The sequence below is a fragment of the Homo sapiens genome, chromosome 10, assembly GCF_000001405.40.
Source record: "Homo sapiens chromosome 10, GRCh38.p14 Primary Assembly".
Classification (NCBI taxonomy): Eukaryota; Metazoa; Chordata; class Mammalia; order Primates; family Hominidae; genus Homo; species Homo sapiens.
The window spans coordinates 11,963,013-11,989,880 of record NC_000010.11 but is presented as its reverse complement, the minus strand read 5'-3'; the positions used below and the strand labels follow the sequence as shown (position 1 = coordinate 11,989,880).

At 39.8% G+C, this 26,868-nt stretch overlaps 1 protein-coding gene across 5 annotated transcripts in view; it reads left to right on the top strand.

Moving 5' to 3' along the window:
• UPF2 (UPF2 regulator of nonsense mediated mRNA decay) overlaps positions 1-26,868 on the top strand; it is a 123,149-nt gene that overhangs the window by 53,290 nt on the left and 42,991 nt on the right. For 3 of the 5 annotated variants that reach the window (NM_080599.3, NM_015542.4, XM_047424986.1), the window contains exons 9-11: positions 10,716-10,824; positions 22,427-22,540; positions 25,756-25,872. In NM_080599.3, the coding sequence (NP_542166.1) occupies positions 10,716-10,824; positions 22,427-22,540; positions 25,756-25,872 (340 nt within the window). Of the gene's footprint in view, positions 1-10,715; positions 10,825-22,426; positions 22,541-25,044; positions 25,681-25,709; positions 25,873-26,868 lie in introns of those variants that run through there. The other 2 variants (XM_047424987.1, XM_011519449.4) reach the window with 2 other exon arrangements.

Sequence of the window (26,868 nt, the reverse complement as noted above, 5' to 3'; positions counted from 1 at the left end):
CTAGACTACCCTTTCAGGAGGTGACTCAAGGATCCAGACCACTTTCATCTACGTCACTAGCATGGCTTCTAGGTGGCCGTGGCATGGGAGACAAGCGTGTGAACTCAGCTTAGTCCTAGATACTTTGGACAAGAAGTGCCAAGTCATTTTTGTTCTTAGCTCATTGTCTAGGACAACAAGAGCATTTAGAAAATGTAGGGAAGCATGTGAAGCATTGGGGTAACATTGTGTCCCTTGCTACGGAAATACTCACAGGGATTTGTTTTCAGTCAGTAGACTTGTGTTAATATTTCTCTAGTAAGTTACCTTGTTGAAAACAATAAAAGAAATACTCATGGTTTGGCTGGTAGAGGACAGTCTTTTGAAAGATGTAATTTATACATAGCTTTGACTGTTACTCTTTACATTTCTATTCATTTATTTTTTAAGAGACAAGGTCTTGCTATGTTGCCCAGGCTGCTCTTGAACTCCTGGCCTCAAGCAATCCTCCTGCTTCTGTCTCCTGAGTAGCTAGGATTACAGGCATGTGCCACTATGCCTGGCACATTTTCATATTTTATATAGATTTTAATCAATTGAGCTATAATTTGTTCAAGTAGATTTCTAATTTTTATACATTTCTCATGTTAATAGTATTCTGTGTAGTCTTTTCAGGTTTAAATTAAACTTTCTCAATCTTTTTAAAGTTCATTACTGTGGGATTTGGAAAGCCAATGCCTCTGTTTACAGATCTGTAAAATGAGGTAATAGGGAGGGACTTGGACCAGGTTGACATTTCCTGGTTGGCTGTATATTTTTATTGATCAAAAAAGCCTTTCATTTTGAAGGTCTTATTTTGTCCTTCACTTCCAGGTGCATTTCTACCCTACCTGCAGGATTTGGCTTATCCCTGAGGGGGACGGCTTGATCCCTAGGGAGCCTGGAGTAGAAAGATAGTAATCAAGTGCCAGTCAATTCCCTGTCATCCCATTTCTGATTCTTCCAGACCCCATATATTCACACAGCTTTCTCTATCCTTTGAGTGACAGTGATGTCTGATAGCCCTCAAGCGAGGAGATAAGGGGAGTAAAGAGAGTTGAGTGTAGAGTAAGCAGGCAGTGAAGTGGTATTGGAGGTAGCAAGTTACTTTGAGTCTTTGGAACACTTGGGGCAGGCTGGAACACTTTGGGAGAGGGGGCAAGGAAATACTATCACCTTTTGGCATCCTGGCCTCGTCCTGCACCCATACTCACCCAGCCTGTTTGAGACTCCTTCAGTCAGATTCTCGTCCTCCTCCCTGGCATGCTCCTTCCTCCCTCCTGTAATCCCAACACTTTTGGAGACCAAGGCAGGAGGATGGCCTAAAGCCAGGAGTCTGAGACCGGCCTAGACAACATAGTGAGACCCCATCCTCTACAAAAAATAAGCCAGGCATAGTGGCATGTGCCTGTAGTTCCATCTACTTGGGAGGCTAAGGTGGGAGGATCAGTTGAGCCCAGGAATTTGAAGTTCGTGCACTCTGGTCTCACCACTGCACTCCAGCCTGGGTGACAGTGAGACTCTGTCTCTAAGAAAATTACAAAAATTACAAAAATAAACACAGCATAACAACTATTTATATAGCATTTACATTGTGTTAGGCATTATAAGTAATTTGGTATCTTTTGGGTGGGGGTAGTAGTTCCTGGAACCAGTCCCTCATGGATACCTAGGGACAACGTCCCTAATGACATATGACGTTGAGCATCTTTTCATGTGCTTAGTGGCCATTTGCATATCTTCTTTGGAGAAGTATCTATTCACAGCCTTTGCCCCTGTAAAATTGTATTTGTCTTTTTATGAATGAGTTCTAAGAGTTATTTATATATTCTAGGCACACATCTCTTATCAGATACATAATTTGGAAGTATTTTCTCCCATCCTCTGAGTTGTCTTTTCACTTGCTTGGTAGTATAATTTGCAGCACAGTTTTTAAAGTTTGATGTAGTTCATCTTTACAGTTCTTAAAGGTTTGATCTGAAGCAGTGTTTTAACTTTCAGTTGCATTCTTCCTTCATTAAATAAATAATGATGAAAAAAAATCTCAAAACACTATCATTATATCCTTTAGCCTTTTTTTTTTTTTTTTTTTTTTTTTTTTGAGGCAGAGTCTTGCTCTATCGCCCAGGCTGGAGTGCAGTGGTGTGATCTCAGCTCACTGCAACCTCTGTCTCCTGGGCTTAAGTGATTCTCCCGCCTCAGCCTCCCTAGTAGCTGGGACTACAGGCATGCACCACCACTCCTGGCTAATTTTTATATATTTTTTTAGTAGAGACGGGGTTTCATGATGTTGGCCAGGCTGGTCATGAACTCCTGACCTCAAATGATCCACCCGCCTAGGCCTCCCAAAGTGCTGTGATTACAGGCAGGAGCCTCCGTGCCCAGCCTCTCTTAGCCTATTAATTTGGACTCCACTGAGATGTAGAAATCCCCTTAGATATTTGCATTTTATTTTATAGGTAATTATAACATAGCTATACACACAACTAATTGAGATTTCACATTAAGTGTTTATATCTTTTTTTGTCTTCAACTTTTAAAGTTTAAGTGCAAGGGTCCATGTGCAGGCTGTGCAGGTTTGTTGCATAGGTAAACATGTACCGTGGTGGTTTGCTGCGCAGATCATCTCATCACCTAGGTGTTAAACCCAGCCTCCACTAACTCTTCTTCCTGAGGTGTTTATATCTAAAGTATACATATGTGTCCATCACTCCGATCAAGATATATGACATTCCCAGCACCTCAGAAGGCCCCTCACCTAAGCCAATATTTAAGTTTAAAGTCAATCAGTATCAGGGAAAGTACGTAAGAATCTCTTCTTTCCTTATGTTTAAAGTATAGATGCACTTGGTATTGTTTTAGCCAAGTGTTGGCTCTTTAGATTCATGTAAACAGAATACTCTTCAGAGGTGAAGTGCTGCCCTTGATTCTTGAACAGCTTTTCCCTATCTAGCTTTTAGGAGAGTTTGCTGGACTTTTTGTAAGAGATTTTCTGATTGGACCTCCTCCTTCACTCAATTTGGAACTGTGAGAGAATGTTTCCGTGAAATCTGTTAGTATGTTGCACCACCTGGTGGCGCTGTTGTGTTGGAAACAGCAGCATTGTGGAAAAGTCAACAGGGCATTTGGTTGTCGATTTCAGAGTAAATGACCCCAGTCTTTTGCTTATTATATTTCATTTTTTAGGAATCATCTTCTGCTTTAGTGTTTCCTATGAAATCCTTTGTATTCTTTAATTGCACCGTAACAGCGTTCTTTCACATTCATTTTTTTCCAGGCATTTTTGAGCACAGAGATAAAATTAAATAGCTTTCAACAGTCAAATTCTTCAGATTTTAAAGAGAAAAAGAGAGCTAGACATTTCTTTTAGAAAGCCAATTGATTAGGAGATGAAAACCCATAAGAATTTCTTCTTTCCCTCTCAATAACAAAAGTGTTTGTATGTTTCTGCTCTTGTTTCTGCTTGCTTGTAGTTAGTGACTGTTTACTGACTTGATAATCATTAACTGCTGGTAGGATACTTAAATGTGTGATTCAGGAGACCTTAAAAACATAAACAAGATTTTATTATTTAAGGGAAAATAGCATTCTTTTAAAGTGATTCATCGTTCATTGTTGGTAAACGTAATTTTCGCCATCTTATGAGATTATAGAATTCCGTTTTCAAAGGAAGGATCTAGGCCGGGCGCGGTGGTTCACGCCTGTAATCCCAGCACTTTGGGAGGCTGAGGCGGGCGGATCACAAGGTCAGGAGATCGAGACCATCCTGGCTATCACGGTGAAACCCCGTCTCTACTATAAATACAAAAAATTAGCCGGGCTTGGTGGCGGGCGCCTGTAGTCCCAGCTACTCGGGAGGCTGAGGCAGGAGAATGGCGTGAACCCGGGAGGCGGAGCTTACAGTGAGTGGGGATCGTGCCACTGCACTCCAGCCTGGGCGACACAGCGAGATTCCGTCTCACAAAAAAAAAAAAAAAAGGAAGGATCTAATTATTTTTCAGTTGCTTTTCAACACTCAAATTAGATGAAATACCCATCTGGCTTAAATTTTAGCACAAATTTGCAGTTGATGAAAATATTTTATTTTGTGTTATTAATAACTTTAATGTGACTGATGTGACTTTAATGTGACTGATGTGACATTTTGCACTCCATCCCATTTTTGAGCTTGTGTGCCCTTTGGAAGACAGAACACGAAGAAAGCATTCTTTTTTTTTGTTTGTTTGTTTTTTTTTTTTTTTGGAGACGGACTCTTGCTGTGTCGCCCAGGCTGGAGTGCAGTGGCGCAAGCTCCGCCTCCCGGGTTCACGCCATTCTCCTGCCTCAGCCTCCCGAGTAGCTGGGACTACAGGCGCCCTCCACCACGCCCAGCTAATTTTTTGTATTTTTAGTAGAGACAGGGTTTCACCGTATTAGCCAGGATGGTCTCCATCTCCTGACCTCGTGATCCGCCAGCCTCTGCCTCCCAAAGTGCTGGGATTACAGGCGTGAGCCACTGCACCCGGCCAGCAGAAAGCATTCTTAAGCAGGACTAACGTTGAATAACTATATAATTGATTATTTACAACATAAAGGATTTTATTTTGTGAAGTAATGGATGAACAGACACAGGACTTCAAGATTTAAATAGAGCAGGGTGGTATTTTGTATCAACTGTCCTTTTTATAGGGGTAGAGGATTCCGAGAAAATGGAGTATCTAACTTTACTTCCATAACTCCTTAACTCATAACTTCCTTAACTCATTTTAAAAATCCCTATTAAAGCTGAAAGCATTTTCCCGTGTTGTTACTTCATTGATCTGTGCCTGAACAGGTAGCACAAAACTGTCTTGCTTTAAAATGCATAGCTGGACCGGGCGCGGTGGCTCACGCCTGTAATCCCAGCACTGTGGGAGGCCGAGGCGGGTGGATCACTTGAGGTCAGGAGTTCGAGATCAGCCTGGCCACCATGTTGAAACCCTGTCTCTACTAAAAATACAAAAATTAGCCGGGCATGGTGGCAGGCACCTGTAGTTCCAGCTGCTCGGGAGGCTGAGGCAGGAGAATCACTCGAACCTGGGAGGCGGAGGTTGCAGTGAGCTGAGATCCTGTCAGTGTTCTCCAGCCTGGGCAACAGAGTGAGACTCTTTTTTTTTTTTTTTTTTAAAGAGCAAAGATGGCTATATCTGCCTTTTTGTGGGGGACTCAGTAGATTGGGCCACTTAGAAGAAAATGAAGTGAAGTGCAAGGGACAGACCAACAAGTGGAAGAAAAGTGAAACGATCTTAGACTAGGTAGCACGAGGAAGGAAAAAAAGAAGAAAAGTGAAATGACATAGTTTAAGAATATTTGATGCTGTTTTATCACAAACTTTGTTGAAAAATACATTGAAAAAGACAACTAAGATAAAAGTTTTAGAAATTCAAGATCTGGTTCCTGGAAAAATCAAAATAGAGAAGTGTGTAGAAAATATATTTTAAAGAAAAAGAACATTAAAAAGTTTAAGAAATGAGCAGATGATACGCTTAAAATATTTTAAAACCACTTGAAAATCTCAGTGAAACATAATTTTTTGAAAAATATACACATTTTCAAAATTCCTTCAAGATAAAATACCCACATAGAACGGTAATCATGGAAGAAAGCGTTAAAAGTTATTAATTGATCGGGCACGCTGGCTCACGCCTGTAATCCCAGCACTTTGGGAGGCAAAGGCGGCGGGTCACCTGAAGTCAGGATTCCAGACCACCCTGACCAACATGGAGAAACCCCGTCTCTACTAAAAATACACACTTAGCTGGGTGTGGTGGTGCATACCTGTAATCCCAGCTACTCAGGAGGCTGAGGCAGGAGAATTGCTTGAACCCGGGAGGTGGAGGTTGTGGTGAGCCGAGATCGCGCCATTGCACTCCAGCCTGGGCAACGAGAACGAAACTCCGTCTCAAAAAAAAAAAGTTATCAATTAATTTCATCTTAAATAGAATAAAACTAGGAAGCTTAACTGAGTATTTTTAGCCTTTTAAGGAAGAAATAATATCGCTTGTTCCAGAGCATAGAAAACGTGTTATTTCATATATTAAAAATTCTAAGAAGAAGGAACAAGAAAATCACAAGCATTGACCAATCTCACTTTTGAGTGTCAATAAAAAAATTCCAAGTAAAACACTAGCAAATCATATTTAATACATAGTATATTAAAAATAAGAATCCAAGGCCGGGCACGGTGGCTCATGCCTGTAATCCCAGCACTTTGGGAGGCTGAAGCAGGTGGATCACGAGTTCAGGAGATCGAAACCATCCTGGCTAATACAGTGAAACCCCGTCTCTACTAAAAATACAAAAAATTAGCTGGGCATGATAGCACGCGCTGGTAGTCCCAGCTACTCAGGAGGCTGAGACAGGAGAATGGCGTGAACCCAGGAGGCGGAACTTGCAGTGAGCCGAGATCATGCCACTGCACTCCAGCCTGGGCGGCAGAGCGAGACTCCATCTAAAAAAAAATAAGTAAATAAGAATCCAGCATGACCAAAGAAGATTGATCTTAGGAATGGAAGGATACTCTAACATAGGAAATCTATTAATATATATAACATCAGTAGGAGAGTAAGTAACTATGTGAATGTCCCATTAACTGCTAAAAGATATTTGATAAATTAGCTTTTGCTTGATAAAATGTAATGTTATTACAACAATAAGATGCTACTTCCTTAATATGGGGAAGAATGTCTTAGACTAAATGCTAACAGTATACTTAAGAGTGAGTTACCAGAGATAATTCATTTATCTAACAAATGTATATATTGAGCACCTGCCTATGTTCCAGGCACTGTTTGAGTGCTGGTGAACTGTCTGCCACGGAACTGAACAATTTTGGTGGGTAGGGGTAACAAATGAGTTAACCATAACAAATCAATTATTTACTATGTTAAGTGGTAAATTCCATTTTTAAAAGTAGTGCAGGTAGGCCTGGGCACAGTGGCTCATGTCTGTAATTTCAGCATTTTAGGAGGCTGAGGGGGGTGGATCGCCTAAGGTCGGGAGTTCAAGACCAGCCTGACCAACATGGAGAAACTCCATCTCTACTAAAGACACAAAATTAAATGGGTGTGGTGGTGCATGCCTGTAATCCCAGGTACTTGGGAGGCTGAGGCAGGAGAATCGCTTGGGAGGCGGAGGTCGTGGTGATCCAAGATGGCGCCATTGCACTCCAGCCTGGGCAACAAGAGTGAAACTCTGTCTCAAAAAAAACCAAAGTGCTTTGTAAGGGGATTGGGAGGGATATGATGGGTTAGGTGCAGTTTCCTTGGAGTATTCGGAACGGGTCAAAACAGGGAGACTGGGACTCCCTTTAGGGAGGGAGTAAACAGTATGGATGTTTAGGGAAAGCATATTCCAGCCCAAGGCAAGGACCATTGCATAGGCCCTGAGTCAGAGCATCAGTGAGGAGCCAGTGGGCCTGGTGCAGGCAAGCTGGGAGGTATGGGAGAAGAGGGTGGATCAGTCCCTGAGGTCATGGAGATGCTGTTTGCTGCTGTAGAGTTTATACCTGGGTCTCCTCACTCCCAGTGCGTTGCTTTGCCATCTTGTTACCTTTGCTGTTGTACCTGTACTTTTCTGACCTGAAATTGTGGCAATGGCAGCAAAAGAACCTCCGCATAGATTTAAATCCTATATTTGAATTTGATAATTGATCATGAGCTGAAAAAGAATACTTTATTTGTTAAAATGGATGTGGAAAATGAATAACCTTAATATTCTAACTAAAATTTGTAAATTTAATCTCAGTGTAAATTAATCTGTTATGTAAGAACATTAAATATTCATTTGCTCCAGGCTTTTTTTTTTTTAATAGTAGGAACAGTAGGGAAATTATTACATGTTTATAAGCGTAACTTATAGGGGCTGGGCGCAGTGGCGCACACCTGTAATCCCAGCACTTTTGGAGGTCAAGGCGGATGGATCACAAGGTCAGGAGTTCAAGACCAGCCTGGCCAATATGGGGAAACCCTGTCTCTGCTAAAAATACAAAAATTAGCCGGGCACGGTGGTGCTTGCCTGTAATCCCAGCTACTTGGGAGGCTGAGGCAGAAGTATCGCTTGAACCCGGGAGGCGGAGGTTGCAGTGAGCCGAGATTGTACCACTGCACTCCACTCCAGCCTGGGCGACAGAGCGAGACTCCGTCTCAGAAAAAAAAAAGAGTACCTTACAAGAACACCTTATTTTTGTAATATCTTTAGAGAGTGGTGGGACCTACTTATGTGCATTTTCCATGTGACAGCAGCTTAGACTTTAATTGATAAAACCTTAAAAATATTTTAAATCAACATTTAAATTTTATCATTAAATGTTTTTATATAATGGATTGTAGTTTTCGCTGTTTCTTTAAAGAAAGATATGGTTTATTTTAAAAAATTATTGCGGTAATACTACAAAGCTATCATATTGCTGACTTCTCTCAGCATCTGTTCCCTTATTTCTGCAATGGTGAGTGTAATATCCACCTTATAAAGTGGTTATTAGGTTTAACAAGTTGAGTTATATATGTAAGAGGCCTAGGACAGGGCCCAGCACATTAGTAAAAACTAATTTGCTTAGAAATTATAATAGCCCAAGTTTTTGAGGAGTACCATGTTTTTGAGGCTTTTAGGTATGAATTTAGCCAGTTTCCTCCATTTAACCTTACCTTTCTTCTTTATTTCAATTTTTTTTTAAATCTTTTTGAGACAAAGTCTCGCTCTGTGGCCCAGACTGGAGTGCGGTGGCATGGACTTGGCTCACTGCAACCTCCACCTCCCAGGCCCGAGTAGCTGGGATTACAGGCAGGTGCCACCGCACCCAGCTAAATTTTGTATTTTTAGTAGAGATGGGGGTTTCACCATGTTGGCCAGGCTGGTCTTGAACTCCTCACCTCAGGTGATCCACCTGTCTCAGCCTGCCAAAGTGCTGGGATTATTGACCACCATGCCCAGCCTAACCATACCTTTCAAATTTATTTCCATCCTTCTTTTTTCAGTGTCCCTTTAGCTAAGGGTTAATGTATCCATCTGAGGAGCTTTCCAGATCGAATTATGTGTTTTTTTCCCTGACCATCAAACATTTTCATATATTATTGTATGGTACAGTGATGTGCTCAGCAATAATCTTTTTTTGAGATGGAGTTTCGCTCTTGTTGCCCAGGCTGGATTGCAATGGTGTGATCTCAGCTCACTGCAACCTCTGCCTCCTGGGTTCAAGTGATTCTCCTGCCTCAGTCTCCCGAGTAGCTGGGATTGCAGGCATCTGTCACCACGCCCAGCTAATTTTTATATTTTTGGTAGAGATGGGGTTTCACCATATTGGCCAGGCTGGTCTCCAGGTGATCTGCCTGCCTCAGCCTCCCAAAGTGCTGGGATTACAGATGTGAGCCACCGTGCCCGGCCTCCACTCAGCGATAATTAAGACTCGTATGATTATTTGTGTCTGTTCTAATTGGCTTCAAGCTGTCATAATTTTTAAGCTCTTGTAATTTTATAGTTTTTAGCTTCCTCTCTCACTGTCAGCTCCATTATTTGCTGCTGTCAGTTAAGCTGCTTTTATCAGTTGCTCATTACTTCTCATCTTCAGAGTCTGATCTGCTGAGTGTTGAATCATTGATTAATCAGGTTTTACAAAATAACATCTATGGCAGGAATGGAAAATAAATTTTAGCTTGTGTGTTGATTCCAACTAGTAGTGGCCACCTGGAGTGCTGTGCTAGGCAGGATTCTGGAGCATCATTCCTGTGTAATGGGAAAGAGTGCTTTGACAATGGAAGAGGGTGGCAGTGTGAGTGCCACATATTTGCCATTTACTGTCCAAATTAAGATCCTGAATGAAGATCTGAGTGGGTTCTGTAATGAGTTGAAATACATAAATTAGTATTTAGATTTTGTAATATTATTTTGCCTTCGTAGAGGTTTTTTCAGTTATTGAGTACCATTCATTCATTCATTCATTCGTTTGATGGAGTCTTGCTTTGTCACCCAGGCTGGAGTGCAGTGGCGTGATCTGGGCTCACTGCAACTTCTACCTCCTGGGTTCAAGCAATTCTCCTGCCTTAGCCTCCCGAGTAGCTGTGACTACAGGCGCATGCCACCATACCTGTCTAATTTTTTTATTTTTAGTAGAGACGGGGTTTCACCGTGTTAGCCAGGATAGTCTTGATCTCTTTACCTCATGATCTGCCTGCCTCGGCCTCCCAAAGTGCTGGGATTACAGGCGTGAGCTACCACGCCCAGCCTATTGATTACCTTTTTACTTTAGACCTTGAGGTTTCCAAATAACTTACCCTGAGATAAATGAAGGAAATGGCTTTAAAGGATTTTGTCTTGCACTAGAGAAGTTACCTTGAGATTTGTAAATATGCAGTTACTCAGTAATTATGTGATTAAAAATTTAAGTCGTGTCAAAACATACTGTTTTTTTGTGTGTGGTGTTTCATATTTCATCAAAATTACATAATAAAACTACAGATGTGCAGTAAATTCACGGAATGGAAAATGCCAGAATATTAATAAAATTGTAGAAGGCTCATTGAATTTTCAAACACTTCTTTATGATGGCAATAAATAGGCATGTCTGTATGATTATGAGTTTTAAGATCATTTAATGTGTGAATACATCTGAAAAGTTTAAATTTTAAAATGAATTATTTTTGATATGTCTTTCCTTTGACACATATCACATATAACTTTTGCAGGTTGGATTTGCTACCATTTTATGCAAGATTGGTTGCTACATTGCATCCCTGCATGTCTGATGTAGCAGAGGATCTTTGTTCCATGCTGAGGGGGGATTTCAGATTTCATGTATGTATTTAAGCATTTATTTTGAAATATTTATATTCTTATACGTTGAGTGAGGATTCTTTAAGAATGTAATTGTTGGTAAGCATATTCTTGAAATTTGATAGTGGTATAACAGTTTAGAATTTACGGCATTCTAAATTTTTGAAATGTGATTTACTTAACGAAGCTTGAAATTGATCAGTGATATTCTGGTTGGGAGGTGAGCTGTTCCTGCTACCTTGTTCCCCCATTGCGGGAACAGCACTTTTTGCTTTTCTAAGGTAGAAATCATTCTCCAGGGTCAAGACAGCCAGAGCCTTCACTGGTGTTTCCAAAAGAAACATCATTGGCTGCCATGAGTCCGGGTGTGGTGCCACATAGGATATGCTTCTTTAGGTGCTTGGGTCCAAATGTGTGGCGTCTGCAAGTTTCCATCAATACTCTGATACTAGCAAGTGCTGCCATAGCCTGTGTTTCTTTGATTTTGCCTTAAGAAGTTTTACCTTGGACCATGGTGAGTTTTTTAAAGATCACCCTGGGAAATAACAGGGGCCTGTTACCAGATGGCTTCCCTTCCTCTCTAACCCTAGAAGTATGAACAAACTATGTGTTAGTGGTTCTCCCAACCCATGTTACCCAGTTATTTCACGGAGGTGCTTCTGCTTCAAATACAGGCTTGATAGTGGGGAAATGATACTGCCAGAGGTGACTAAAAGTGGACATTGTTAGACTGTGAAAAAACATGAAATTCAATTGTAGTTAGCCAATGGAAAAGTGGTGTTTACAAAACTTCGCTTTATCATAAGTTGCTCAGAATGCAAATGAAAACGGGAAATGTCCGCACACGCTTTCTCTCACTCACTGTGCACCAGTCAGTAGTGTTGCCAAGCTCTCGCAAGAACAGACACAATTCTGAGGTCAGGAACTCACGATGTAGTTGAGGACACAAGGTTTAAATAAAAATTAATCCTTAAATATAATAGCTGTAAGGAATTGCATGGTGAATTGCCAAGTGAATTATTGGAGAGTGGGTGCTTTGAGTGCGAAGGAAGGAGAGAGTCTCTTGCAGAGGAGAATGGTCTGTAAGCACTTCTTGTTATTATGAGATTTGTGGTTAAGATTTTTCTGGGCCAACTTTTGCTAAAGTGTTTTTCAGATTTTCATAGGTAGTAGTACGTAAGGGAAGGTTTCTATGTTTAGAGAGGTTGGAAACACTGAACTCAATAAAGTTAAGTGGTTTTGTTTTGTTTTGTTGTAAGAATTCTCAAAGCATTAATATGGTAATGTGCTCTGTGAATCTCCTGGAGGGGCATGAATATGGAGCCCCTCAAAGAACACACTTTGATAAATGCTGCTAGTTCAGAGACAGATATAGCAGAAGCCGTGATATTCTTGTTGATATGTTTAATCCCATTGTACAAAGAAGGAACTGTTTTACTAGTGGACAGTATGAGTTATTATATCGGTTATATGCCTATACCCCTCAGCCAATCCCCAAATTAAAACACAAGTTGCTGGACCAAGCATAATTAGTGCTTTTGGTGAAAAACTTAAATTAAGAAAATTCTGTCTATATGTACTCTCTCATTTGAAAATGGGGGTGAGAGTTGGGGAATTAGCATTTTTATTGTACTATTGCAATGCTTCATTACAAGGGAAGAATATCAGAACTCCAGGAGCATACTTTGGGAACCAGTGCTCTCGAAGGAGAGAAGAAAGAGCACTCTACAAACTTGATCACCTTCTACTTCCTCCAGGATCTATAGACTTTGCCAACAATTTTCTATTAGGCAGAAACACATTCACCACTCACATCCTTAAATCAAAGTGACAGCAACAAACACCTTTTCTCAGCATCCCCTGCCCTCCCCCCGCTGCAACTATTTCATTTCCTTCTTATTGAAGTGTTTTACAGTATACTTGTCTCTGTTTCTCCTGACATTTACTCTTTGATTCACCATCATAGCAGCACCCTGGCAGAGACCACCAGTGTTTTTCCAGTTGCCTGTTAGTTGGTGTCTCTGCAGATTCGAAACTGTGCCCCACTCTCCGGTGTTCTAGGAAGCCTGCCTCTGGCTCCACCACATGCTAGCATCGTAACTTTGGCCAACTTACGCAACTGTTCTAAGCCTTGGTTTCCATGTCTACCAGGTGGGGTTCATAACTGCATCTTTTAAAATAGGATTGTTCTTAAGGATTAAATGAAATAATGCACATGCAGCTCCTCACATAGCATCTGTACATAAATATTATTTTAATAATAATTATACCTTCTATACCACCATTCTCTCCTGGTTCTTACTTGTGTTACTATTCTTAATCTCCTCCACCTTTTTTCCTAGCTGAGTTTCTTTGTTGGGATTGGCTCAGCTTTCTTCCTTCAGCCTCCTTTTTAATGGGATGCATTTACCTGGCCTTTAATTCACATCTATTTCTCAACAACCCCAAATATACATATCTTGCCAGAATCTCTCTTATGATACTTAGAAAGTTTTCATGTACTTGGAGCTAAATTAGTCCCCAAACCAAATTCATTATTTTCTTCTTAAAAATGTCTTTTACTTCCTTGAATCTGCTTCTGTATTTCCCATGTAAATTTACAATGTATTTTGTCCAGTTACTGAGATAAATACCTCTACTTTTGCACCTAGACATTTAGGAGCCATTGTTTACTAAATTCATTTGATGCTGTCTTCTAAAAGAACTAAAATCTAGCATCTCCTCTTCATACCTCCTGCCACTGTCTTTCATTTTCCATACCTGGAGTTATGATAGTAGATTTTTAACGAGCTTTTCCCGTCTCTGTCTTCTACCTAGATCCAGTATATTTCTGCAGTCTGGTATGTTTTTCCCCCTAAGAACCTCAGCTGAGAAATAAAGCAGGTTAACAAAGCTGTATGAAATGTCACTGGCAGTTAAGGAAATTCTAGTTGAAACAATGGGTTTGCTAATTTCACTGACGATTAGAAAAGGTAATAGAAATTAGAAACCAACATTCTCAGATACTTCAGGTGGGAATCTGGTGAAGCTGTTTGGCACTAGATTTCAAGAGCCCTAGAGGCATTCACACATTGGACAGCTATGAGGACATGTCCTAAGTAAACAAATCTATGTACCAAAAAACTGTGATTCACAGTATGACTCTAATAGGGAAAACTGATCATCTGAAAGCCCAACAGTGGATTAATAAAATGGTCATCTAATCACAATGCTGAAATGATGGACAGCCATTTGAATTGATGTTTACAAAAACGTTTTTAGGGCCGGGCGCGGTGGCCCACACCTGTAATCCCAGCATTTTGGGAGGCCAAGGCGGGTGGATTACCGGAGGTTGGGAGTTCGAGACCAGCCTGACCAACATGGAGAAACTCCGTCTCCCTAAAAAAAAAAAAAACAACAAAATTAGCCGGGCGTGGTGGCACATGCCTGTAATCCCAGCTACTCAGGAGGCTGAGGCAGGAGAATCACTTGAACCCGGGAGGTGGAGGTTGCAGTGAGCTGAGATTGCGCCACTGCACTCCAGCCTGGGCAACAAGAGTGAAACTCCATCTCAAAAAACAACAACAACAAAGTTTTTATATCAGAAAGTGCTTTTTTCAAAAGCGAGATATAAAATCTTACATATAATAAACGGACACTTAAAATGCTTAGAAAGTAGAAAAGAGAAAACAATTACATATCAGTATGTTAACGTAGCAGTCTTTGGATGGTGGGAACATGAGGAATTCTTTTCCGTTCTAATTTTCTGTGTTCTCTAAAGTTTCAGTGTGGCCTACTTCTTTAGTGATGAGGGGGACAGCTTTTTGTTTTGTTTTAAGAGATGGTATCTTACTCTGTCACCCAAGGTGGAGTGCAGTGGCATGATCATAGCTCACTGCAGCCTCAAACTTCTGGACTCACGCAATCCTCCTGTTTTAGCCTCCCAAGTAACTACGACTACAGGCGCATGCCAACACGCCTGACTGGGGAGACAACTTTTATTTAACATAAGCAAATTACAGTCATTGACATTTTAAAAATTAATCATCTTCCAACTTTTTGATTAAGTTTCTTTATTTGTTAAAATAAGTTGACTATATACCCCCATTATAGGTATATTTATTTCAAAATTATATACCTTGGCAGTTGTACCAAATATTTTTGTGCATTATAAACCATACAAAAACAAATAGATATGTGTGAGATAAAACATATAAATAGAATTTTCAGTTTCCCCTCCCTACTCCAAGTAGATAAATAGTCTTATGCACTCTACTTTGGAGATCACTGGTTCACAAAAGTTTTTAAAGAGTTTCAAAACTCTTTAATTCCAGCAGCACATCAAAAAGCTTATCCGCCATGATCAAGTGGGCTTCATCCCTGGGATGCAAGGCTGGTTCAGCATATGCAAATCAGTAAACGTAATCCATCGTAGAAACAGAACCAAAGACAAAAACCACACGCTTATCTCAATAGATGCAGAAAAGGCCTTTGACAAAATTCAACAGCCCTTCATGCTCAAAACTCTCAATAAATTAGGTATCAATGGGACATATCTCAAAATAATAAGAGCTATTTATGACAAACCCACAGCCAATATCATACTGAATGGGCAAAAACTGGAAGCATTCCCTTTGAAAACTGGCACAAGACAGGGATGCCCTCTCTTACCACTCCTATTCAGCATAGTGTTGGAAGTTCTGGCCACGGCAATCAGGCAGGAGAAAGAAGTAAAGGGTATTCAATTAGAAAAAGAGGAAGTCAAATTGTCCCTGTTTGCAGATGACATGATCGTATATTTAGAAAGCCCCATCGTCTCAGCCCAAAATCTCCTTAAGCTGATAAGCAACTTCAGCAAAGTCTCAGGATACAAAATCAACGTGCAGAAATCACAAGCATTCCTATACACCAATAACAAACAGAGAGGCAAATCATGAGTGAACTCCCATTCATAATTGCTTCAAAGAGAATAAAATACCTAGGAATCCAACTTACAAGGGATGTAAAGGACCTCTTCAAGGAGAAGTACAAACCACTGCTCAACGAAATAAAAGAGGACACAAATGGAAGAACATTCCATGCTCACGGATAGGAAGAATCAATATCATGAAAATGGCCATACTGCCCAAGGTAATTGATAGATTCAGTGCCATCCCCATCAAACTACCAAAGACTTTCTTCACAGAATTGGAAAAAACTACTTGAAAGTTCATAGGGAACCAAAAAAGAGCCCGCATTGCCAAGACAATCCTAAGCAAAAAGAACAAAGTTAGAGGCATCATGCAACCTGACTTCAAGCTATACTACAAGGCTACAGTAACCAAAACAGCATGGTACTGGTACCAAAATAGAGATATAGACCAATGGAACAGAACAGAGCCCTCAGAAATAATACCACACATCTACAACCATCTGATCTTTGGCAAACCTGACAAAAACAAGAAATGGGGAAAGGATTCCCTATTTAATAAATAGTGTTGGGAAAACTGGCTAGCCATATGTAGAAAGCTGAAACTGGATCCCTTCCTTACACCTTATACAAAAATTAATTCAAGATGGATTAAAGACTTAAATATTAGACCTAAAACCATAAAAACCCTAGAAGAAAACCTAGACAGTACCTTTCAAGACATAGGCATGGACAAGGACTTCATGTCTAAAACACCAAAAGCAATGGCAACAAAAGCCAGAATTGACAAATGGGATCTAATTAAACTAAAGAGCTTCTGCACAGCAAAAGAAACTACCATCAGAGTGAATAGGCAACCTACAGAATGGGAGAAAATTTTTACAATCTACCCATCTGACAAAGGGCTAATATCCAGAATCTACAAAGAACTTAAACAAATTTACAAGAAAAAATTAAACAGCCCCGTCAAAAAGTGGGCAAAGGATATGAATAGACACTTCTCAAAAGAAGACATTTATGCAGCCAACAGACACATGAAAAAATGCTCATCATCACTGGCCATCAGAGAAATGCAAATCAAAACCACAATGAGATACCATCTCACACCAGTTAGAATGGCGATCATTAAAAAGTCAGGAAACAACAGGTGCTGGAGAGGACGTGGAGAAATAGGAACACTTTTCCACTGTTGGTGGGACTGTAAAGTAGTTCAACCATTGTGGAAGACAGTGTGGCGATTCCTCAAGGATCTAGAACTGGAAATACCATTTGACCGCACCATCCCATTACTGGATATATACCCAAAGGATTATAAATCATGCTGCTATAAAGACACACGCACACGTATGCTTATTGTGGCACTATTCACAAAAGCAAAGACTTGGAACCAACCCAAATGCCCATCAGTGATAGACTGGATTAAGAAAATGTGGCACATTATACACCATGGAATACTATGCAGCCATAAAAAAGGATGAGTTCATGTCCTTTGTAGGGACATGGATGAAGCTGGAAACCATCATTCTGAGCAAACTATTGCAAGGACAGAAAACCAAACGCTGCATGTTCTCACTCATAGGTGGGAATTAAACAATCAGAACACTTGGACACAGGGAGGGGCACATCACGCACCGGGGCCTGTCGTGGAGTGGAGGGAGAGGGGAGGGATAGCATCAGGAGATATACCTAATGTAAATGACGAGTTAACGGGTGCAGCACACCAACATGGCACATGTATACCTATGTAACAGACCTGCACATTGTGCACATGCACCCTAGAACTTAAAGTATAATAATAATAAAAAAAAGAGAGTTTTCTATGTCAAGGCAAATTTACTTATTTATAGAGTCAGTACTGATTTTATGTTTAGCCTACAGTAGGTTTTCAGAAAAGTTTGATGAGTGAATAAACTTCATGTAAAACAAAGTGAGCAAATTATGGAAGATAGAAAATCTCTATTTGGGTGAATAACTATTTGGCCCTTCTAGAGGGGCCAGCTTGACTAGAACAGAGGGTTCTTTCTGTAGGAAAGTGATAAATGATAGGCCTTAGGAAATCCTTACAGTTCATGTGTGTTGACATATCTGAAGAGTGTTTTTTTGTGTGTTTTTTTTTTTTTTTTTTTGAGACAGAGTCTTGCTCTGTTATCCGGGCCAGAGTACAGTGGTGCGATCTTGGCTCACTGTAACCTTAGCCTTCTGGGTTCAAGTGATTCTCCTGCCTCAACCTTCCAAGTAGCTGGGACTACAGGCACAGGCCACCATACCTGGCCAATTTTTGTACTTTTAGCAGAGACAGGGTTTTACCATGTTGGCCAGGCTGATCTCAAACTCCTGACCTTAAGTGATCCGCCTGCCTTGGACTCCCAAAGCGCTGGGATTATAGGCATGAGCCACTGTGCCCGGCCTGAAGAGTTTTAATTAGTATATACAAACTTTGTTATTCAATTAATCTAAATTTTAGTTGTCTTTAGCAGAGTTGCAAGCCACATTTTTGCTATGGATGATTGATTATATAAGTAAAATCTTACAAGAGGCATTATTGAGCTATAAATATATAGAAAATGTTACATTGTGAATTCATCCAGAAGTGTTTTGACATATTTTTGATCATAAGGTTTTAAGAAATGAGAGTGAAGACCGGGCGCGGTGGCTCACGCCTGTAATCCCAGCACTTTGGGTGGCCGAGGTGGGCGGATCACCTGAGGTCAGGAGTTCGGCCAGCCTGACCAACATGGAGAAACCGCATCTCTACTAAAAATACAAAATTAGCCAGGCATGGTGGCGTATGCCTTTAATCCCAGCTACTTGGGAGGCTGAGGCAGGAGAATCACTTGAACCCGGGAGGCGGAGGTTGCGGTGAGCCGAGATTGCGCCGTTGCACTCCAGCCTGGGCAACAAGAGCAAAACTGTCTCAAAAAAAAAAAAAAAGAAAGAAATGAGAGTGAAAAATGTTGAATGAGGAGTGAAAATGTTAGCCATTTTTATAAGTTACAACCTTTTAAAACGCCTTCAGTTTTCTCATCTGAAAATGAGGGAGTGAGATCATTGATTTATAACACTTCATTTAAATGTTGTATAATTTTATCTTTTTTATTAGATCTAACCTCCTTAACCTTTATAATATTTCAGAATAATTAGAATTAATGTAAATATATGATGTGGATGATACAGGATGTTAACATGTTTTGAAAACTAGAATGCTTAGTAATGCTTAAAATGGTGTGATACTCCATAGCAGATGATGAAGAGGATATGCATCCAACGTCATCCAAGGAGATTTAAAAATATATATATATATATTTCCCAACCCTACTGACCCTAAAGACTTAGTTTTAGTATATAGTTTTTTGTTATTTATTTATTTATTTATTTTTTGAGTTAGAGTCTCACTCTGTCGCCCGGGCTGGAATGCAGTGGCATGATCTCAGCTTGCTGCAACCTCCCCGTCCCAGGTTGAAGCAATTCTTGTGCCTCAGCCTCCCGAGTAGCTGGGATTACAGGCACGTGCCACCATGCCCAGCTAATTTTTGTATTTTTAGTAGAGACAGGGTTTCACCGTGTTGGCCAGGCTGGTCTCAAACTCCTGACCTCAAGTGATCCACCTGCCTTGGCCTTCCAAAGTGCTGTGATCACAAGTGTGAGCCACCATGCCCAGCCAGTTTTAGTGTGTAGTTTTTGATGTGCTTTCTTACGTGTTTTCTCAAACAAAGACACAAGGTCAGTGTAATTTAGAAAACATTTAAAGTAAAAAAAAAAGGAAAGAAAAATCCCAGTTTCATTACTTAATAGCAGACTCTTAACATTTTGGTGGTTGTTTTTTAGTTTTATTTTTACCTTTTTTTCTCTATAGTTTTTCATGACTGAATTATATTTTATGTATAATTTTCTGTTATTTCTCGGAAGCATTTTACCCTGTCATTAAAATACTCCTTAAACATCATTTTAAAAGTTGTATAATCTTCTTTTGTCCTGTACATTAATTGCTTAGTACCAAGTGAAGTGTAGTCACTACCATCATCATCATTATCCTTACTTTACCAAGTGGGCAGACAGGCTCAGGGAGTTTATATGACTTGCTCAAGATAATGTATCCCATAAAGTGATCTCAAGAGCACAGACATTCTAACTCTAGAACTTTTGCTCTTTCACGTCACTGCAATATGTATATTAAGCTTTAGCTTTTCAGTTATTTTTCAGCAAACATTTATTTAGTGCCCATGTATTAGAGATACAGATATACAAGGAAGGATAAAATTAGTGATAGCTAATATTTATTGAACCCTTACTGGTCCAAAGCACTGTTTTATGTGCTTTACAAGTATTATCTTATTTAAGACTCACAACCCTATTAGGTCCAATTTACAGATAAGGACATTGAGACACAGGTTAAGTAACAGGCAGTAAGTGTAAGTAATAGTGCTGGGATTGAAATCCAGCAAAACTGGTCCACAGTGCACACTCAATCAATCCTCGAAGCTCAGAAAATAAGGTAAATTAATAAGAGAAGTTTTTTATGTGCATGTATATGAAACATTTATTTGTGAAAGTTTCTTTATGAAGGCTGTACTTCTTTCTAAATTACAAGGCTAATAATAAGCAGTCAAGTTTATTGAGTATCATTTTGTTTAATATTAAAAATGAGACATTCTATTTTATATTTGTCGCTAATTGCAAAACTATTTTGTATGCTTAAATGATGTCATTAAAAAAAAGTTCTGGCTGGGAGCAGTGTCTCACACCTTATAATCCCAGCACTTTTGGAGGCCGAGGCGGGTGGATCACGAGGTCAGGAGTTCGAGACCAGCCTGACCAACATAGTGAAACCCCGTCTCTACTAAAAATACAAAAAATTAGCCGGGCATGGTGGCGGGCGCCTGTAATCCCAGGTACTCGGGAGGCTGAGGCAGGAGAATCACTTGAACCCGAGAGGCAGAGAGGTTGCAGTGGTCTGAGATCGCGCCATTGCACTCCAGCCTGAGCAACAGTATGAGACTCTGTCTCAAAAAAAGAAAAAAAAAAGTTCTAGGCTGATTGTGGTGGCTCATGCCTGTAATCCCAGCATTTTGGGAAGCCTAGGCGGATGGATCACTTGAGGCCAGGAGTTTGAGACCAGCCTGGGCAACACTGTGAAACCCCATCTCTACTAAAAATACAAAAATTTAGCCGGGCATGATGGCACACACCTGTAATCGCAGCTACTCGGGAGGCTGAGGCACAAAAATCTCTTTAACCCAGGAGGTGGAGGTCGCAGTGAGCCGAGATTGTGCCACTGCACTCCAGCCTGGGCGACAGAGTGAGACTGTCTCAGAAAACAAGAAAAGAAAGTGCTAAACTAATTCAGGGCACCACATTATGGTCACTGGTGTTAAAATGAAAGTTTTCTAGACTGTAGGTTTGGTTTTCCGATGAAAATGGAATTCTGAGGTTAAATTCAATTACATTTATCTTGATGTGTCTGTTTGCATTGTACTGTTGCAGCAGGATTTTGTTGCATCTGATAATTCTTGAAATTTGTGCCTAATTAGAGGACTTACATGTGCAAAGGACTTAAACTTTGACATACAACCATGACTGGTGATAAAAAAGAACAGTGATTATATTGGCTCTTTCCTTGTAATGTATTTATAATAAAAATGTAGCATAGTTTATAATTACAATGCACTAGCCAGCCTGAATACCAGTTTTGCTTAGGTGAGCACTTGGCATTCTTATTTTTAAAGCAGCATTTCCTAAAGTGTGTTCCTTATAGTATTAATTTAATGGGATGTTAACTAATAGTTAACATTTCAAAAAGAAGGTTGGTGTTGCCAAATAAATTTGAAAAACATTGACTTAAAGTTTTCCTTATTTAAGAACCTCCTTAGGCCGGGTAAAATTCATTTTATTCTCCAAATTACTCGACCATGGAACTGTTTTGCAGAGCACATCTTGGGACTGGTGTTATACAGAGCAATTTTTTCTTTAACTTACAATAGTTTGAATATAACAAGAATTTTTTTTTTCTTTTGAGATGGAGTCTTGCTCTTGTCACCCAGGCTGGAGTGCAGTGGCATGATCTTGGCTCACTGCAACCTCTGCCTCCGGGGTTCAAGCAATTCTCCTGCCTCAGCTTCCCAAGTAGGTGGGATTACAGGCGCCTGCCACTACGCCTGGCTAATTTTTGTGTTTTTAGTAGAGACAGGGTTTCGCCATCTTGGCCAGGCAGTCTCGAACTCCTGACCTCGTGATCCGCCAACCTCGGCCTCCTGAAGTGCTGGGATTACAGGTGTGAGCCACCGCACCCGGCCTATAGCAAGAAATTTTACCCATATGTATTAAAAATATCTGGAGTGGGCTGGGCACGGTGGCTCACGCCTCTAATCCCAGCACTTTGAGAGGCTGTGGTGGGTGGATTACCTGAGGTCAGAAGTTGGGGACCAGCCTGGCCAACATGATGAAACCCCTTCTCTACTAAAAATACAAAAAATTACCCAGCTGGGTGTGGTGGTGGGCGCCTGTAATCCCAGCTACTCGGGAGGGTGAAGCAGGAGAATTGCTTGAACCCAGGAGGCGGAGGTTGCAGTGAGCCAAGATTGCACCGTTGCACTCCAGCCTGGGTAACAAGCGAAACTCTGTCTCAAAAAAAAAAAAAAAAAAAAAACTGGAGTGAATTCGAATGCATTAAAATAATAGTTTTTATCACAGAGATTCAAAATGTTGATTAAGCATTATCTTTTCTCTCTTAATTTTTAGGTACGGAAAAAGGACCAGATCAATATTGAAACAAAGAATAAAACTGTTCGTTTTATAGGAGAACTAACTAAGTTTAAGATGTTCACCAAAAATGACACACTGCATTGTTTAAAGGTTAGTGCTGAATTAGTTGATTGTTTTTAATTGAAAAGTTTAAAGTTTTAATTATAAATGGTGGATAAAGTGAAATAATTTAATATTTGATTAATCCAAAAGAAGACCAAGAAAGGAAGAAAAAGTAACGTTAAACAAGTGTGCAAAATACAAAACAAATAGTGAGATCTTAGATACTTATGCAGTTCTACGAGTAATTACGTGAAATCTAAAAAGGGTGAAATATGTCAAGTAAAAGCCTTAAAAATATAAAACTTGATTAAAACAACTACTAGGAGCCATCTACAACAGAGTCACCCTTAAATATGAAGATGAGAAAAATTAAATAAAAAAATGGGGAAAATATGCTATACAAATACTAATAAAATGAAAGCTGGTTTCTCTGTATTATCATAGAGGTTAAAAATATTGACTGGTGGTAGTTATCTTACTCTGTCATGTGAATACAAACATTTCTACCTAAACTGAAACATCCCATACATATGAGTTGCCATCCCTGGAGAGCTGTAGAAATTTTTTCTCAGTTGGCTACCGGTGAGTTCACAGTCTTCCAAGGGGTAATTAAGTTCAACCTGTAACACTTTTGACAAAGCCATGAAGTATTATTAGAAATGAAGGGCTGGGCGTGGTGGCTCACGCCTTTAATCCCAGCACTTTGGGAGGCTGAGGCAGGTGGATCACCTGAGATCGGGAGTTCGAGACCAGCCTGACCAACATGGAGAAACCCCGTCTCTACTAAAAATACAAAATTAGCCAGGCATGGTGGTATGCACCTGTAATCCCAGCTACTCGGGAGGCTGAGGGAGGAGAATCACTTGAACCCAGGAGGTGGAGGTTGTGGTGCGCCAAGATCACACCATTGCACTCCAGTCTGGGTAACAAGAGTGAAAGTCCGTCTCAAAAAAAAGAAAAAAAGAAATAAGGCTGGTTTGTAATGATAAAGAGGTTATTTTAACAGGAAAAGATTACCTTTCTGAATCAGTATGCAACCAATAACATGGCTTCAAAATATATAAAGCAAAAATTGTCAAGTAACAGAGTAAATATCTTACAATCATAGTCAGAGACTTGAAAACACCTCTCAGTAGCTGAAACAACAGGCAGACAGAATAAGTAAGTATATACAGAATTGGAACAACACAGTTACCAATGGTGATCTAATTTATACTATATCCAACAGCAGCAGAATTTACAATCTTTTCAAATGCCTATGGATTATTTACCAAAATCAGTCATAAAGTCTTAGAAAATTTGGAAGATTGAAATTACTCAGATTATGTTTTTTGTCCAAATAGAATTAAAGTAGAAATTAATTAGTAACAGTAATTAATTATATGTGGTAAAGCTGGTGGAGAATAGATGGAATAATTCTTCTGCATTTGAAATTGATCATTCCGTTACTAAGGTTGTTTTTTTCTATAACAAATTTTTCATCAACTTGATTTCCTTGAGATCTTAATAGATATATCACACAAAACAGGTCTCATGGATTCAAATACATTTGGAACATCCTGAGGTAAACAAAATTAAACAGTTTTTTTTTTAATGCATGACTTCTTAGAGTTTTTAAAATACTAATAGAGGCCGGACGTGGTGGCTCACGCCTGTAATCCCAGCACTTTGGGAGGCCGAGGCGGGCAGATCATGAGGTCAGGAGATCGAGACCATCCTGGCTAACACGGTGAAACGCCGTTTCTACTAAACATACAAAAAATTAGCCGGGAGTGGTGGCAGGCACCTGTAGTCCCAGCTACTTGGGAGGCTGAGGCAGGAGAATGGCATGAACCTGAGAGGTGGAGCTCGCAGTGAGCCGAGATTGCGCCACTGCACTCCAGACTGGGTGACAGAGCCAGCCTCCATCTCAAAAATAAATAAATAAAATACTAATAAGTATTGTAAATATTGAAGGGATAAGTTTCCTAATCCTTCTTAGAGCATCTCTGGAAACTAGTATACTGATAAGTATATTTAGGTAAATTCCAGATAGCATTATAGAAGGGATTATGAAAATGTTCTGAGTGCTGAAATTGAAAGGAATATGCTGTGAATTGTTTAAATGTATTGGTGTATTTCTTTGTACTAATTCTTAAAAATATATAGGAAGAATATACACTTTTTTGACACAGAAATTTCTTTCCCAGGAATTCATTTTAAGGAAATAATCATAAATATGTCCACAGATTTCTCTACAATGATGTATGTCCCACCATTTTTATAATACAGGTTGATGAGCATTCCTAATCTGAAAATGTAAAATTTGAAATCCTCCAAAATTCAAAACTTTTTGAGTACCATTGTGACACATGTCACCTGACTTCATGTGGCAAGTCACAGTCAAAACACAGTCACAACTTTATTTCATATAAAATATATACTGTATAAATTACTTTCAGGCTGTGTTTATAAGGTTATATGAGACATAAATGAATTTTGTGTATAGATTTGGGTCCCATCCTCAGGCTGTCTCATTATATATGTGCAAATACTGTATTCCACAATCTCAGAAAATTGGAAATCCGAAACATTTCTGGTCCCAGGCATTTCAGATAAGGGATACTTCACCTGTAGCAAGAAATGGAAGGCAATTGGGGTGATGGATAAGAATCAAGTAAGTTTTAATCTCGTTCATATTATGTAGCACTATATACTTTGCAAATCATGCCATAGAAGGACAAAAAAGGACACAAAAAATTTTTCCTAGTAAGCCAGAAGAACCAAGTGATTAAATGATACAATAGAAACCAAATTCTCAAATGTCTCAATCTGTTTTAGTTTAGAAATACGCGTAAATGATTAGGAGGGTAAATACTAAAATGTCCTAGTGATAGGTTGTGTCTATAATTCATATAATGAGCAAATAATACTTTTGTAGTGAGAATTTTGGAAAATAAATATATAGACCAAGACAAAAGGCATTGAGAAAATGTCTGCTGTGTATGTGGCATGTGTTTAAATACAAAACATCTAACAATAAATATAGAAAGGGGTTTGACATTCGTTTCCACATATCTTTCTGTGAAAGACGTCAAATATATTGAAGTTTTTCAATAAAAATTAATGGCAGAACACAAAAGATGCTCAGCAGTGAACCCAAGTAGACTCACTTCTGTTTTTTACGTTTTCCAAGTTGTTACACACATTAGATGTATGATAATTTCTTCTCTACTAGGATTGAAGAGTTGCCTTTGTAGTTTTCATCATTCTTCCTGTTGCAGATGCTTCTGTCAGACTTCTCTCATCACCATATTGAAATGGCATGCACCCTGCTGGAGACATGTGGACGGTTTCTTTTCAGATCTCCAGAATCTCACCTGAGGACCAGTGTACTTTTGGTAAGGGCTTGAGGATGCTGGTAAGAGCTAGAGGTTCTTGATTTACCTGTGCTTCAGAGGTTGAAAATATTGACCAGTGCTGGTTATCTTATTCTTTCATATGAATACAAACATTTCTACTTAAAGTGGAACATCCCATACATATGAGTTGCAATCCCTGGAGAGCTGTAGACATTTTTCTCACTTGGCTACCAGCGAGTTCACAGTATTGCAAGGGGTAATTAAGTTCAACCTGTAACACTTTTAACAAATGATGCAGATGAGCAGGCACCCAATACTGTTTTGTTAGAGCCATGTTTATGAATGTTTTTGTTATGTTATGAATGTTTTGGTGCATCTCAAACCATTATTCATGTGTCATGTAAGCACATAAAATGTAAGCTTAAATATATTAAATTTTAAAATTAAGGCCAGGCGCAGTGGCTCACGCCTGTATTCCCAGCACTTACAAAATACCAGCCTTGGCAACATAGTGAGACCTCCTCTCTACAAACACATTTTAGAACTAGCCAGGCGTGGTGATGCTTTCCTGTAGTCCCAACTACTCAGAAGGCTGAGGTGGGAGGATCTCTGGAACTTGGGAGATCAAGGCTGCAGGAGTCATGATCTCGCCACTGCACTCCAGCCTGGGCGGCAGAATGAGACCCTGTCTCGAATGAATGAATGAATGAATGAATGAATACTCACACAGCTAGATAGGAGGGATGATAAAAAGAAATGAAATATAATTACCATCTTCAAAGTGGTTCACCTGTAATGGGTGAGAGTTAACTACGTAATTCTAATACAGTGTCGTAGGTGCTGTAATGGAGGGCTGCAGAGGATACTGTGGGCTCATGGAGGAGGTACTTAAACCAGACTGAGAGTAGCAAAGGTCTCCCCTAATGGCTTGATAGTATTTATGGGGTGTGAACTCTGTGCTAGACCCTTGGAATATAAAATTGGAAGAGTTTCTGCCCTTACGTAGTTTATAGCCTAATAGGACAGTCAGACAAA